Raw genomic sequence first — 13,981 nt, forward strand, 5'->3', positions numbered from 1 at the left:
GGCAAGGAGGACCTACAATGTAAGGAGGGTAGTGATGAATCCATGTTGTATGTAGCATGCTCTAACATTTATTGGACATGTGATGTGTGCCAGGCATCATGCTAAACATTTAACATACCTTATCCCTCTTAACTCTCCTACAGAGAGTATACCTCTTTTTTTTTTTTTTTTTTTTGAGACAGAGTCTCAGTCTGTTACCTAGGCTGTAGAACAGTGGCGGGATCTTGGCTCACTGCAACCTCCGCCTCCCGGGTTCAAGCTATTCTCCTGCCTCAGCCTTCTGAGTAGCTGGGATTACAGGCACGTACCACCACGCCTGGCTAATTTTTTTATATTTTTTATAGAGACAGGTTTTCACTATGTTGGCCAGGCTGGTCTCGAACTCCTGACCTCAAGTGATCCGCCTGCCTTGGCCTCCCAAAGTGCTGGGATTACAGGCCTGAGCCACTGTGCCTGGCCCCAGAGAGTATACTTCTAATCTTCACATCTTATGGATTGCAAACATATTCGGAACACCAAGTTGTAATTGTTGGACGTGGAGGTGGAAACCAGAAATGAGTCCCAGGTCTGTGAAACCTCATGGATGACCTATGGATTTGAACCTTTGAAAAAAATTAAGGACAAGAATGGAATGATTCTATAGCTCAGTAAGTTTCCCCTAAGGAAACTTCATCTCATAGAAAATAAAAGCTCTGCTGAAGCCTTCTAGTTTGCCTGGAATTGAAATACACAGAGCCCCTACTTAGTCGTTATCATCACGTGGTGTAATACTGGTGCTTTTATATCACTGTGGACCCAGAAAATTATGCACCATTCAAGGGCCATGTGTAAAATGATGGCAAAACTGCCATCAGTTACTGATCTGTGGACAAAATATCCAGCATCTTATTTAAGTGGCTTGTATCATTTAAAAAGATCTTGCAGATTACTCAACGGTTAATGCTTTAATGGAACATTTAGGCTTTGGTCTACTCATTTTCTTGTAGTGCCTGTAGCATAGACAGAATCAGCCTGTGAAAATAGAGGACACAGCTATCTAAAAAGAATGCAAGCAAATGTGTTTTCATTTACAGTGTCAATATTTAGTAAATATATTTCAAACTTTATTGTGCATACAGATCACTTAAGGATCTTGTTGAAACACAGATTTGGATTCAGTAGATCTAGGGATACTGAGATTCTGCATTGTTACAAGCTCCCAGGTGACATCAATGCTGCCCATACCTAGACCACACTGTGAGTAGCAAGAATCCAGGTTTTAGTCAGGGTGCAGAGGCTCATGCCTGTAATCCCAGCACTTTGGGAGGCTGAAGCAAGAGGATTGCTTGAGCCCAGGAGTTTGAGACCAGCCTGGAGAACATAGTGAGACCCTGTCTCTACAAAAATAAAATAAAATAAAATAAAGAGGCCAAGTGCAGTGACTCATGCCTGTTATCCCAGCGCTTTGGGAGGCCGAGGTGGGCGATCACTTATGGTCAGTTGAGACCAGCCTGGCCAACATGGTGAAACCCCATCTCTACTAAAAATACAAAAATTAGGTGGGCATGGTGGCACATGCCTGTAATCCTAGCTACTCAGGAGACTGAGGCAGGAGAATCACTTGAACCCGGGAGGTGGAGGTTGCAGTGAGCTGAGATCTCGCCACTGCACTCCAGCATGGGCAACAGGGTGAGGCTCCATCTCAAAAAAAAAAAAAAAAAAAGAAGAAGAATCGAGGTTGTAAAAATCTGGGTTAATATATGTGTACAATTCCTGCCCTTCCTCAAAGATCTTAATAACCTCAAAAATCATTTGTCAAACCAGTACAAGGAGTTTCAATTAGCAAAACTTAAACTCAGTAATTAAACCAACTACAGTACTAGGGTGAACATCTAAATAAAATGTCCAAGAATGATTGTCAACAACCATTCAAGGATTATACGTTTTGCCACTACCATATGCTGAGGGCTTATTGAATGTCAGACATCCTGCAGAGTTTGTTCTGTGGTCCCCATTATGTTGGAGTCTAAATTCAGGCAAACTAGATACTATAAACAGAGGAGGGGAAGATGCCACCCACGGGTACCATTTATTAAGCTCTTACCCTGTATCAGTCACGTTATAGACATGATCCCAATTAATCCTCACAGTGAAAAGACGGAAATATTATCATTGTCCCTATTTTTCAGAACAGGAAGCCAGGATCCAGAGAAATTAAGCCATTGGCTCAAATTCTTAAAGTTCTTAAGTGGGAAAACAAGATTTTGGACCCAAAATCTGTTGACTTATTACCTAGCTTCTATTGAATTCTGCATCATTAGTAATGAAAACTTAACTCCTAATCCTAACACAAGGTTAAATAGCAAGTAGGATGCGGGGGGGAATGAAGATGTTTCCTGAAGTGTACACGCGTGTGCGTGCGCGCGCGCGCGCGCACACACACACACACACACACACACACACACACACACCCCTGAATTTGGTCTGAGAACATGGATGTGCTAACAAACCCTTACTTACTTCTGGGCATTCCACAGTCTTCCAGGTCATTAGCCTCCTAGCTCCCATTCAAATCCACACCATTAGTAGCTGCAATCAGCTATAATTCTTTTATTTTTTAATTTTATTTTATTTATTATTATTATACTTTAAATTTTAGGGTACATGTGCACAATGTGCAGGTTAGTTACATATGTATACATGTGCCATGCTGGTGCACTGCACCCACTAACTCGTCATCTAGCATTAGGTATATCTCCCTCTAAATGCTAAGCTTCCTCTAAAAAACCTCACAGATTGGCAATTTCCTACTGTGCCTCAAGTGTTAATTCAACCAGGTCAATCAACCAGCCCTTAAAACTGAGCAAGATCACCTGCAAAGGCATTTCTAATAGCCATATCTGAGGAGAGGCTGAGTAGGTGAAATTGTAGGGATGATTTTGTAACCAGAATTTTTCAACCCTTGGAGAGCTAGAGGTGCTTCTGAGGCAGTGAGGTGAGAAAAGGGGGATTTCAAGGAATTTTGGTAGCACAGGTAGTCTCTTACTTCTCCACGGGGGTTCAACAGACTAACCTTACATGTTCTGAAATCAGATATACACAGTATCGCTACTATATTCAAAAACATGCTAATTAAGAGAGGACAGGACTTGTAACAATCAGAAGAAAGGCCAATGGGAACTAAGAACCTGATTAGATTATGTAGGTTTTAGAGGCTTCGTTGCGTTAGGGGGTTTTGTAGGAATGAAGAGAGAGGATAGTGGAGAATGCAGTGTGAGCTTGTTTTTAGATTGAGAGAAGACCTTTAAAAGACGTATCCAGCTGATGGTAAAATGATGGGGTGTGCTGTATTGATCAGAGGTGAATTTTCTTATCTTGGAGGGTAGAAAAAAACAGGCTAATTAATAGATACATAAAATGCATTTGATTGGAGCAATGACCTCCAAGGCAAGATATGTGCAAAAAAAAAAAAACCCACTGGGATATGGAAATAAAATATTAGAGCTACTAATAATGTTTACTTCGACTTCAAAATACAGAAGGAAATTAAATTTTACTAATATGTAGCATATGATTGACAGGGAGTAAGTATACAGTGTATAAATGAATATGCATACATGTGGTATATCATAAAATGTTTTTTCCTGGTAAGGATGAGACTCCTTAGTAAGATTATTTATATGTGAATCTGTGTGTTTGGAAATATTTGAAATGTGATGTTGGTGAAAGAAAAGGTACTAGAATGGATAGTGTTAAATATTTATATAATGGAACATTAGACAACTGTTAAAATGAATATACTTGCTTTAGATAAATCTTAAAATGTCAAATTTAAAAAAGCAAGCTGCAGAATAATGTGCTCAGTGTGATTCCATTCATACATATTTTGAAAGCGTACAAAATAGTATTCTGTGTCATTTATTTCCGTATATAGAAAGGATATAACATTGTGGATAAGATGAGTGCTTGCTAATTTCAGAGTAGTTGTCAACACCTGGGAGAACATTAGGGCTACGAGATTAGGAACACTACAAAGGAAGTTCTGAACAAAACATTAACATGTGTTCAGTCTAGGAGATAGGAGTGTGGTTGCTTGCTGGTTTATTAAATGAATCTATATTCTTTTGTCTGTTCATAACATTTTATAATAATCCAATCAATGATATGTGCTAAATTGGTGGATTGAGCAGAACATATCCTGGAAAGTTAGGTTTATAAGTGTGGGAAGGCTGCAGAAAGTTTACTTTCTTGGGACCCCAGAAGTAAGGTGAGCTGTAAACACCTTGTTCAAGCAAGAGAAGCAGAGGATGCAGCCAAGACTAAACTGCTGCCGCTTCTCGGTGTCCACTGATGGGGCTCTCCGTCTTTGTGCCAACTGCATCATAATGAGCAGAACCGCATGCATTAAATAAAGAGTAATCAATCATGAGCAACATGACAGGTGATCCTGTGAGCCTCATGTTGGGGGATGTAGGGTGAGTTTGAGAAGAATGTCAAAGAATGACAAACACTGAGCTCACAGGGGCTAGCCGGGTCAGTGGTTCTTAACCCCAGGTGCATATTAGCAACACCCAGGTTGCTTAAGTTCTCTGACCCCTCCGCAGACCAATTGAATCAGTAGTATCTCTGGGGTTGGAGACCTGGCCTAGGCATCTAATTTAAAGTTCCTTTTTTATGGGTGAGTAGTATTCCATGGTATAAATATACCACATTTTCTTTATCCACTCATTGGTTGATACAATTCATACATGCAACCAAAAACCATTTGTACCTGTAAAGCAATTGAAATAAAAATAAAAATAAAATACATAGAGTTCACTAGCTGATTCCAAAGTGCAGCCCGAGTCGAGCTCAGTGGGGTATAAGGTATTTCCCGGGGTGCCACGACCATGGGTTTTGTCTGTTTTTACGCCTCCTGGCTTGGTAACGACCAACGTAACTTGTGTTTGCAAACACAGGTTGCCTTACATGCTGTGCTGGTTACCTTTTCTGCTCAGATACAAACCTCAGTGGGAAATGGGATGTAGAGTCAATGGCCCTTAAGGAAATCATATGATATGGGGACCAGGTCTTTAAAATTAGGAAACAAAGGTCCTGGAACAAGAAATGCCTTGGCCCAAAGACACACAGCTGTTTAGCAGTAGGTCTGGGATTTAAACACTAATTTTCTGACACTATCTTGAAATTAAAGAAAGTTCCGTTAAGAAGGGTTTGTTTTCTTCAGCTGATACTGTTAACCTGCACCGACTTACGAAGGCATTGCTGAGTGGACCTTCTTCTGAGCACAAAACAGTTTATAATTATCCTAATTGTACGGAAATGAGAGCTTTCCAAACATGTGAAGGGTCATAAAAATGTCTTGTTCAGTTAGTTATTTTAAGTATTCCCACTATGATCTTGTTTTGAACATAATTTTATTTTATTTTTGAGGGAGTGTTTGGTTAGTGCTGAAAAGCTCTAAACTACCCTCTATTTGAATGGGTTTGCATTAAATATTAGAAGCCAAATTAGTAAGGTTCTGAAGGACTCTAGTCTGAAAGAGAGGCTGGGAATGGAGTGGACTCAATAAAAATCAAGTAATAGAAATAATAATAATAATAGCAAACACTTATGAGCACTTGCTGGGCACTTTTCTTAGTGCTTTAAGTGATAGGGTTGCTGCCAGATTTAGTAAATAAAAATAAAGGGCACCCAAATAAATTTGAATTCCAGCAAACGACAAATAATTTTTTACTCTAAGTATGTTCCTGTATTTTCTTTGCTGATTCTGTCGACTCCACTAAGTGAATTAACACCATTTAACCTTTACAATCCTACGTGGTAGATTTAATTAATCCCCAAAATACAGAGGAGAAAATGGAGGCAGTGTTAGGTAACTTATCCAAAACTACAAAGCTACTATGTAGCAGAGTTGGGATTTGAACCTAGGAAGTCCAGATAACCACCATGATACACTGCCTGTTCAACAACTATTCAGTCTGCAGACATTTACTCTGTATCTGGGGAACTTGCTAATATCCAGATGTCCCTGCTCACCCCCATAGATTCTGATGCAATAGGTCTAGGGGTGGATCCTTGGTATCCACTGAAACTGATGTGCCTGAAGTCTGAGATCCTCCAAACGACATCATCTCTATGCTTCATGATTCTTGATCCTGGCTGCACATTAGAGTTGCCTGGGGAGGCTGTGGTTCATTTGATGTGGGGTGGAGCCACTGAGTGATTCCACCATAGGAACCAAGGTTAAGAATCACTGCTATAGTACAGTACCTCTTGGCTCTACCTTGATTCAATGGTAAGTGAACACACATGGTTGAAACACTCCTAAGGAAGTTAAGGATAAAGAAAAAAGAGTAAGATTAGCGATGTCCCTTCATGATGAAGAACCTTCCCCTCACCTGACATCTGAATACTTATTTTGGCATCAGTTCACTCAACATCTGTATGCTAAGAACCAACTGTGAGCTCAACGGGGAGATGTACAGAATCAATTACTATCTAGACACATGCCTGGAAGGCAGGATGGCATTCAGGAAAACTGTGACTCAATCCTCAGTCAGGTGCCCCTACTTTTCACTCTACCCAAATCCCCTTTCAGATAATCAAGACCAGGATTCCAACTTGACTTCTCAAACCCACCCAGAGTCACAGCAGCTGCCTAGGCAACACCCGTGCCACCCATTTCTCTTGCCTGCCTTTCTTCTTCTTTGTAAAGCTTACCTGTTCTCTGTTTCAGTTCCTCCAGAGCTCTTCCAGGCATTTAGAACTCAAACACTGATCTTATTGGAGCTCCTACATAAATATCTGCCCGCGGATTGATATTTAGCCATTGCTAAAGAGTCTGTGCTAGGGTGGGGAGTATCATGGAAGTACCCTCCTTTTGTGGACTCTAGGGATTTTGCATCCCCCAATCAGACTTTGAAAGTCTCCAGGTGGGTAGGCACACTACACTAGAAAGGAATTATTAAACCTCAGAGTTATTAAAGTCCAACATTTTCCATTCATTTAACAAATAACAAGGTGCTGGGTGCTGGGCTAGATCATGGGAAAATAAGGCTGATGGAGAGGGACAAGGTCCCTGTCCCCATGGGGCTTATATTCAGTCTATCTAAGGTAAGTCCAGGTGATATAGCTTCCTCCTAGTAAATATGGTACAGGAACAAAGTCTTAGGTCTAATTGCAACTTGCCCTAAAGCAAAAGGGATCATGGCATGGCCCACCATAACTCCTACTCTGATATAATGTCCAAGCAGCACCATTTCAGTGGCAGGGATGTGGGCCGCATTGCTGAGATTTGAGACATTTGAGACCACAGACCTTGGTCCCTTGAAACAGGCTCTGGTTAGCTATTCATTTCAGTTCTCAGTATTCACTAAGTATTTCCTAAGATGATAACCATGACTAATATTTAAGAAGCTCTTTTGATGTGCAAAGCTCTATATGAATTACTGCATTTTAACTTCACAATGAATAGCTGCAAGATTGCAAAGGACGTAAAGGAAGCAGAGATTGACCGACCTACAGTCTTACTCCAGAGTAGTGTTTCTTAACCTTTTTTTTTTAAACCATCCCTCTAAGAAGCCCTTTAAAACACTTTTTATTAATTGACCCTTTCATATGAAATTTTAATGACATAGATATACTGTTTAGTGTATGTACCTCATAAATATTTAATGTATTGGATACATATCTGTGCTTTAAACATAAAATAGTAAGTTTTTTTCATCCTCAGAACCAATTCTTGCCCCCCTTGGAGGCCATAGCACCCTCACTGAAAGCACATATCCCGACTACTAACTACTGTAGAAAGGTTAACCCACCTTTCTACACTTCGTGGTGTTTTTATGTGCAAAATACTGGTTTATTAGTTGCTCCCCTGACTCCAAGCAAAATGCCTTACCCTGCAATATGAGGAAGTTCATATCCTAATTGATACAAACTGTTTCAAAGGTTGAAAGAGTAATACAGCATTAGCTGATTCGCCATAAAACATAGCTCCTTGTTGCAAACACTTGGGTATAGCCTGGGAGGTAGTATGCTCTATCTACAAATAACAAGAAAAAACAAACTAGTGTTCTTGCCCAAATCTTGTCTCTTACCTGTCTTCAATGAGGGAATCTCCACTTGTTAACTCTGTGACTTTGGGCTGCTCATTATTGTCTCTGAGCCTTGGCTCGCTCATCCGTAAGATGGGAGTGATGAGGCTGGGCGTGGTGGCTCACGCCTGTAATCCCAGCACTTTGGGAGGCCGAGGCGGGCAGATCATGAGGTCAGGAGATCGAGACCATCCTGGCTAACATGGTGAAACTCCATCTCTACTAAAAATACAAAAAATCAGCCGGGCATGGTAGCGGGCGCCTGTAGTCCTAGCTACTCAGGAGACTGACACAGGAGAATTGCTTGAACCCAGGAGGCAGAGGTTGCAGTGACCGAGATTGCACCACTGCACTCCAGCCTGGGAGACAGAGCGAGACTCCGTCTCAAAAAAAAAAAAAAAAAAAGATGGGAGTGACGATAGTGCCACCCCAAAAGGCTGTTGTGTGAATTAAATGAGGTAATGTACATGCAGTGTTTAGCACAGAGGCCCACACAGAATAAGATCTCATAACACGTTCATATGGTCACAGGTTGGGTTCCCTGGAAGCAGATGCTGAGATGGAGTTTGGGCATTAACCCCTGGACAAGGAAGGAGTTGAAGGAAAAATGTTTGGTAATGATCACTTGGGGAAGAAAGGGGAGGAACAGAGACATGAATCATGATGCAGTTTCAACAAAGCTTGGCCAACTTGGCCATAAGCTCTGGAGCAAGTAACTCTCATCACGTTGGCCAGCATTAGGCCAAAATGTCCTGGCTTATTTCTTTTTTTTGTTGTTTTTGTATTTTTTTTTCTTTTTTTTTTTAGTATGCTTTAAGTTCTAGGGTACATGTGCACAACGTGCAGGTTTGTTACATATGTATACATGTGCCATGTTGGTGTGCTGCACCCGTTAACTCGTCATTTACATTAGGTATATTTCCTAATGCTATCCCTCCCCTGGCCCTCCATCCATGACAGACCCCAGTGTGTGATGTTCCCCACCTTGTGTCCAAGTGTCCTCTTTGTTCAATTCCCACCTATGAGTGAGAACATGTGGTGTTTGTTTTTCTGTCCTTGCAATAGTTTGCTCAGAATGATGGTTTCTAGCTTCATCCATGTCCCTACAAAGGACATGAACTCATCCTTTTTTATGGCTGCATAGTATTCCATGGTGTATATGTGCCACATTTTCTTAATCCAGTCTATCATTGATGGACATTTGGGTTGGTTCCAAGTCTTTGCTATTGTGAATAGTGCTGCAATAAACATATGTGTGCATGTGTCTTTATAGCAGCATGATTTATAGTTCTTTGGGTATATGCCTATTAATGGGATGCCTGGGTCAAATGGTATTTCTAGTACTAGATCCTTGAGGAATCGCCACACTGTCTTCCACAATGGTTGAACTAGTTTACAGTCCCACCAACAGTGTAGAAGTGTTCCTATTTCTCCACATCCTCTCCAGCATCTGTTGTTTCCTGACTTTTTAATGACTGCCATTCTAACTGGTGTGAGATGGTATCTCATTGTGGTTTTGAGTTGCATTTCTCTGATGGCCAGCGATGATGAGCATTTTTTCATGTGTCTGTTGGCTGCATAAATGTCTTCTTTTGAGAAGCGTCTGTTCATATCCTTTGCCCACTTTTTGATGGGGTGGGGTTGTTTGATTTTTTCTCGTAAATTTGTTTAAGTTCTTTGTAGATTCTGGATATTAGCCCTTTGTCAGGTGGGTAGATTGTAAAAATTTTCTCCCATTCTGTAGGTTGCCTGTTCACTCCGATGGTAGTTTCTTTTGCTGTGCAGAAGCTCTTTAGTTTAATTAGATCCCATTTGTCAATTGTGGCTTCTGTTGCCATTGCTTTTGGTGTTTCAGTCATGAAGTCCTTTCCCATGCCTATGTCCTGAATGGTATTGCCTAGGTTTTCTTCCAGAGTTTTTATGGTTTTAGGTCTAACATTTAAGTCTTTAATCCATCTTGAATTAATTTTTGTATAAGATGTAAGGAAGGGATCTGGTTTCAGCTTTCTACATATGGCTAGCCAGTTTTCCCAGCACCATTTATTAAATAGGGAATCCTTTCCCCATTTCTTGTTTTTGTCAGGTTTGTCAAAGATCAGGTGGTTGTAGATGTGTGGTATTATTTCTGAGAGCTCTGTTCTGTTCCATTGGTCTATATCTCTGTTTTGGTACCAGTACCATGCTGTTTTGGTTACTGTAGCCTTGTAGTATAGTTTGAAGTCAGGTAGCGTGACTTTCAAATAGAAAAAAGAAAACATCCAAAAAGAAAACTAAGAAAACAATTCCATTAGCAATAGCCAAAAAACAAAAAAACAAAAAACTTAAGAAATTAAGAAAAGAAGCCTAAGACTTGTACACTAAACACTACAACACATCACTGAAAGCAACTAAAGAAGACCTAAGTAAGTGGAAAGCTATCCTGTATTCATGGATAAGAAGACTTAATATTGCTAAAATGGCAACACTCTCCAAATAGATCTGAAGATTCAACCCAACACCTATCAAAATCCTAGCTCCCGTTTTTGCAGCATTTGGCAGGCTGATCCTAAAATTTATATGGGGTTTCAAGTAGCAAAATACAAGGGGTTTCAAATAGTGGGAAAAAAAAAATCTTAAAATTGGAAAACTCACGTTTTCTGATTTCAAAAGTTACAGCAATCAAAACAGGTACCCAGGTGATGGAAGAAGTCCATCTTGGACATTGATAATTGTGTTCCCTAGAAAAAAGAGAGAAAATGAAATACCACACAATGACTCTGAAAAATTCTGCTCATAATTGTTCCACATCATTTTGGTTCACATTCCAATGGCATAAGCACGTCATATGGCTAAAACATGGTTTCAATGAACACAAATGTATAATCCTCCCTTAGGGAGTGGCAGTAAATATTTTGAGCAATTATAATATGTTCAGGTGATATTTTAGATAGAGTCATGGCATAATAATTTGGAGGTCTAGTCACTCCTGGAGCCTGACTGATTCTCTGGAAGAATCTTCAGAAAGTGTGAAGATGATGTCAACACACTTATATGACTACATGCTTCTCAGCACATTTACAGCCAGGTGGGGAAATCCCATGTCAGCCCACTCACCTCTCTAATGTATCTGAAGTCATTTCAGCTTTTACCTCTATAACCAGAGCTGTTTTTTTCCAGAGAGTCCAAGAGAAAGTAAAGTTGCAGAAAATTGAATCAGGACCATGGCTATGAGCAAACACATGGATTTTTTTTATTTTAGATTGGTTAAAAATTAAATTTCTGTTTCCAGGGGTGGAGCTGAAAGAACATCCCTTATTCTGTAAATTATAGGGTGTTTATTTTCTTTCTTATCTTTTTGGAGACAGGGTCTCACTCCATTGCCCAGGCTGGAGTGCAGTGGCATGAACTCAGCTCACTGCAGCCTTGACCTCTTGGGCGATCCTCCCACCTCAGCCTCCTGAGTAGCTGAGACTACAGGTGCACACCACTATGCCCAGCTAATTTTTGTATTTCTTGTAGAGATGTGTTGCCCAGGCTGGTTTCGAACTCCTGCACTCAAGTGATCCACCCGCCTTGGCATCCCAAAATGCTGGCATTACAGGCATAATCCATCATGCCTGACCATGATAGGGTATTTGTATCAAAAAAGACAGATTCCCTAAAGGAAAGTTAATGAGAAAAAAACCTTTAATGCTGCTTCCATCCTCTCAGGAGGAAGAATTGCGGGAAGGGTTACAGCATCTCACCACCCAACGAGGGCACACTGCATACCAGTGGTGGAGAAATGGGTGAGCCCCAAGAGCTTGCCTTGGATGGTCAGAGAATGAGGCTCTTATTCCATCATGGACCACAATAGCAGCCTTAGGGGCGGCATTCATGTGCTGTTGCTCAGGCTTCACAGGAAAGAAAGCTATGGGCTGATCCCTTTATGGAGCAAGCTGAGTATTCAGAGCAGCCGTGTACTCAAGGATGAGCTGCCCAGGTGCTGGTAAATCCCAGTTCTTTTTTATCATGTTTCCAGATGCCAATCATTCATTTACATTTCAAACATCGTATTTGTTCCTCATGACTCATTAGCTTGGAGGGAGGGAGAGCAAAGAGGATTGTCCCAATATGCCTCTGTTACCTGGACTGCTAGGCCATGCTGAGCAGAGAGCAAAGCTAGGACACCTGATACCTATGCCACCCATGGATTTTGATCCCGATCACCTTTAATATGCTAATAAAATGTACAAACACATACGTGGTTCTCTTGGCACAAATATATTCTCCAAGTCTGTTGGGTCTCATTGAATGTGAAAAAGAAGATTCTACTCAGTATATAGCTCAATAATGTTCCCTCTTGGGAATATCCTTTCTCTATGAAAAATAAAACCAATAGCATTTATGCAAGGCCGGGTGCAGTGGCTCATGCCTGTAATCCCAGCATTTTGGGAGGCCAAGGTGGGCGGATCACTTGAGGTCAGGAGTTCGAGACCAGCCTGTCCAACATGGTGAAACCCCGTCTCTACTAAAAATACAAAAAAAAAATTAGCCAGTCGTGGTGGCACGCACCTGTAGTCCCAGCTACCTGGGAGGCTGAGGTGGGAGAATCGCTTGAACCTGGAAGGCGGAGGTGGCAGTGAGCTGAGATTGTGCCACTGCACTCCAGCCTGGGCAACAGAGCAAGACTCCATCTAAACAACACCACCAACAAAAATATTTATGCCAACTGGAGAGCCCTGACATCTGTCACCCTGCTGACTGTGAAGCCTGCAGAGCTAGGATAGATGATGTCTTGGGATTTATGTTACTTAGGGATAGAACTCAAACTAGTTGAGGTCAAGAGAAGAAGTTAATGACCCACATACTTGAATGGTTCAGGGATTGCTCCAATATGGCTACCTCAGGTATGACTTGTTCCAGGTACTCACATAATGTCATACAAACTTGCTCTGTTTCCCTTTCTTGGCTCTGTTTTACTGTGTGTTGGTTTTATTCTTAGGCAAGCTCTCTCCATGTGGTGGCAGGATGACTGTACATTCCAAGCAGCCCTGGCATTACTAGAGTGCCTGCCCACTGCCAAATAGTTTCAGGAAAGTTTCTGGGTTGTGTTATAAACCCTGCCTGCGTCTTGTGTCCATCTCTGAAATAGCCACTGTGTCCAGGAAGATGCCGTGGTCTACTTGACCAGCCCTTGTTCATGTGCCTAGAGTGGAGTCAACTCTCCTGAATCATATAGAGAAATCGAGAGACAGACTGTTATTCATGCACCTGTCATAATATATGAGGTTCTCTATAGATTAATTCTTTTCCTATCTTTCTCCTCTTCTAGGTGCTGAGCAGCACAAGGGTTTGGGCTATTTAATGTGTCTCTATAAGTGCAGTGTCTAGCACAATGTATGAAACCTATGAGTGCCCAATAACCGATCAATATTGTACATGAATGAGTGTTCAATAACAAGGTGATAAATCACAAGGATCATATGCATTCTAATTACCTAGTTTGGGGGTTGCTCCATAGCTCAAAAATATTTGTTGAGTGAATCAGCATTCAGTTCCTCTGGGGATGGAAATTATATCTGATTAACTCTTTGTGTGTTTTCAGCAAAATACACAGTAAGTAACCAACGATGTTGTTAAATAAGAAAATAGATGAATGGGTGAGCTTTAAGTTTCACCACTCAAGGAACCTCATCTCCTTCATCACTCAATTCCCAGTGGTAGATCCAGTAAGCCCTACCCTCTAGGGACTCAAGATACCTCCATCCTTACTCTCCCACTTCCCAGCTGGAAAGCTGCTTAACTCACCTGTATCCCAGAGGATGTCCAGAGGATGTGGGCCATGGTGAGAAGATAGTGAGTTTGAATATGAAAAAGAGGCAAGAAGGAGACAAATGAGGAGTTCACTCCAAGTTCACATTCATCTTATTTTGGAAGGAAGTGGG

The 13,981-nt window shown here is 41.1% G+C and overlaps 1 protein-coding gene across 4 annotated transcripts in view, besides 1 other annotated feature; it reads left to right on the forward strand.

Moving 5' to 3' along the window:
• SHISA9 (shisa family member 9) overlaps nucleotides 1-13,981 on the forward strand; it is a 661,420-nt gene that overhangs the window by 463,702 nt on the left and 183,737 nt on the right. The window lies entirely within an intron of this gene.
• Nucleotides 1,939-2,440: an enhancer, noted in NCBI's record as "H3K4me1 hESC enhancer chr16:13461095-13461596 (GRCh37/hg19 assembly coordinates)". NCBI's record gives its function as "activates a minimal SCP1, AML or CMV promoter by ChIP-STARR-seq in naive H9 embryonic stem cells {active_cell/tissue: H9 hESC(naive)}" and the evidence as "EXISTENCE:reporter gene assay evidence [ECO:0000049][PMID:30033119]".

Source organism: Homo sapiens, chromosome 16, assembly GCF_000001405.40.
Source record: "Homo sapiens chromosome 16, GRCh38.p14 Primary Assembly".
Classification (NCBI taxonomy): domain Eukaryota; kingdom Metazoa; phylum Chordata; class Mammalia; order Primates; family Hominidae; genus Homo; species Homo sapiens.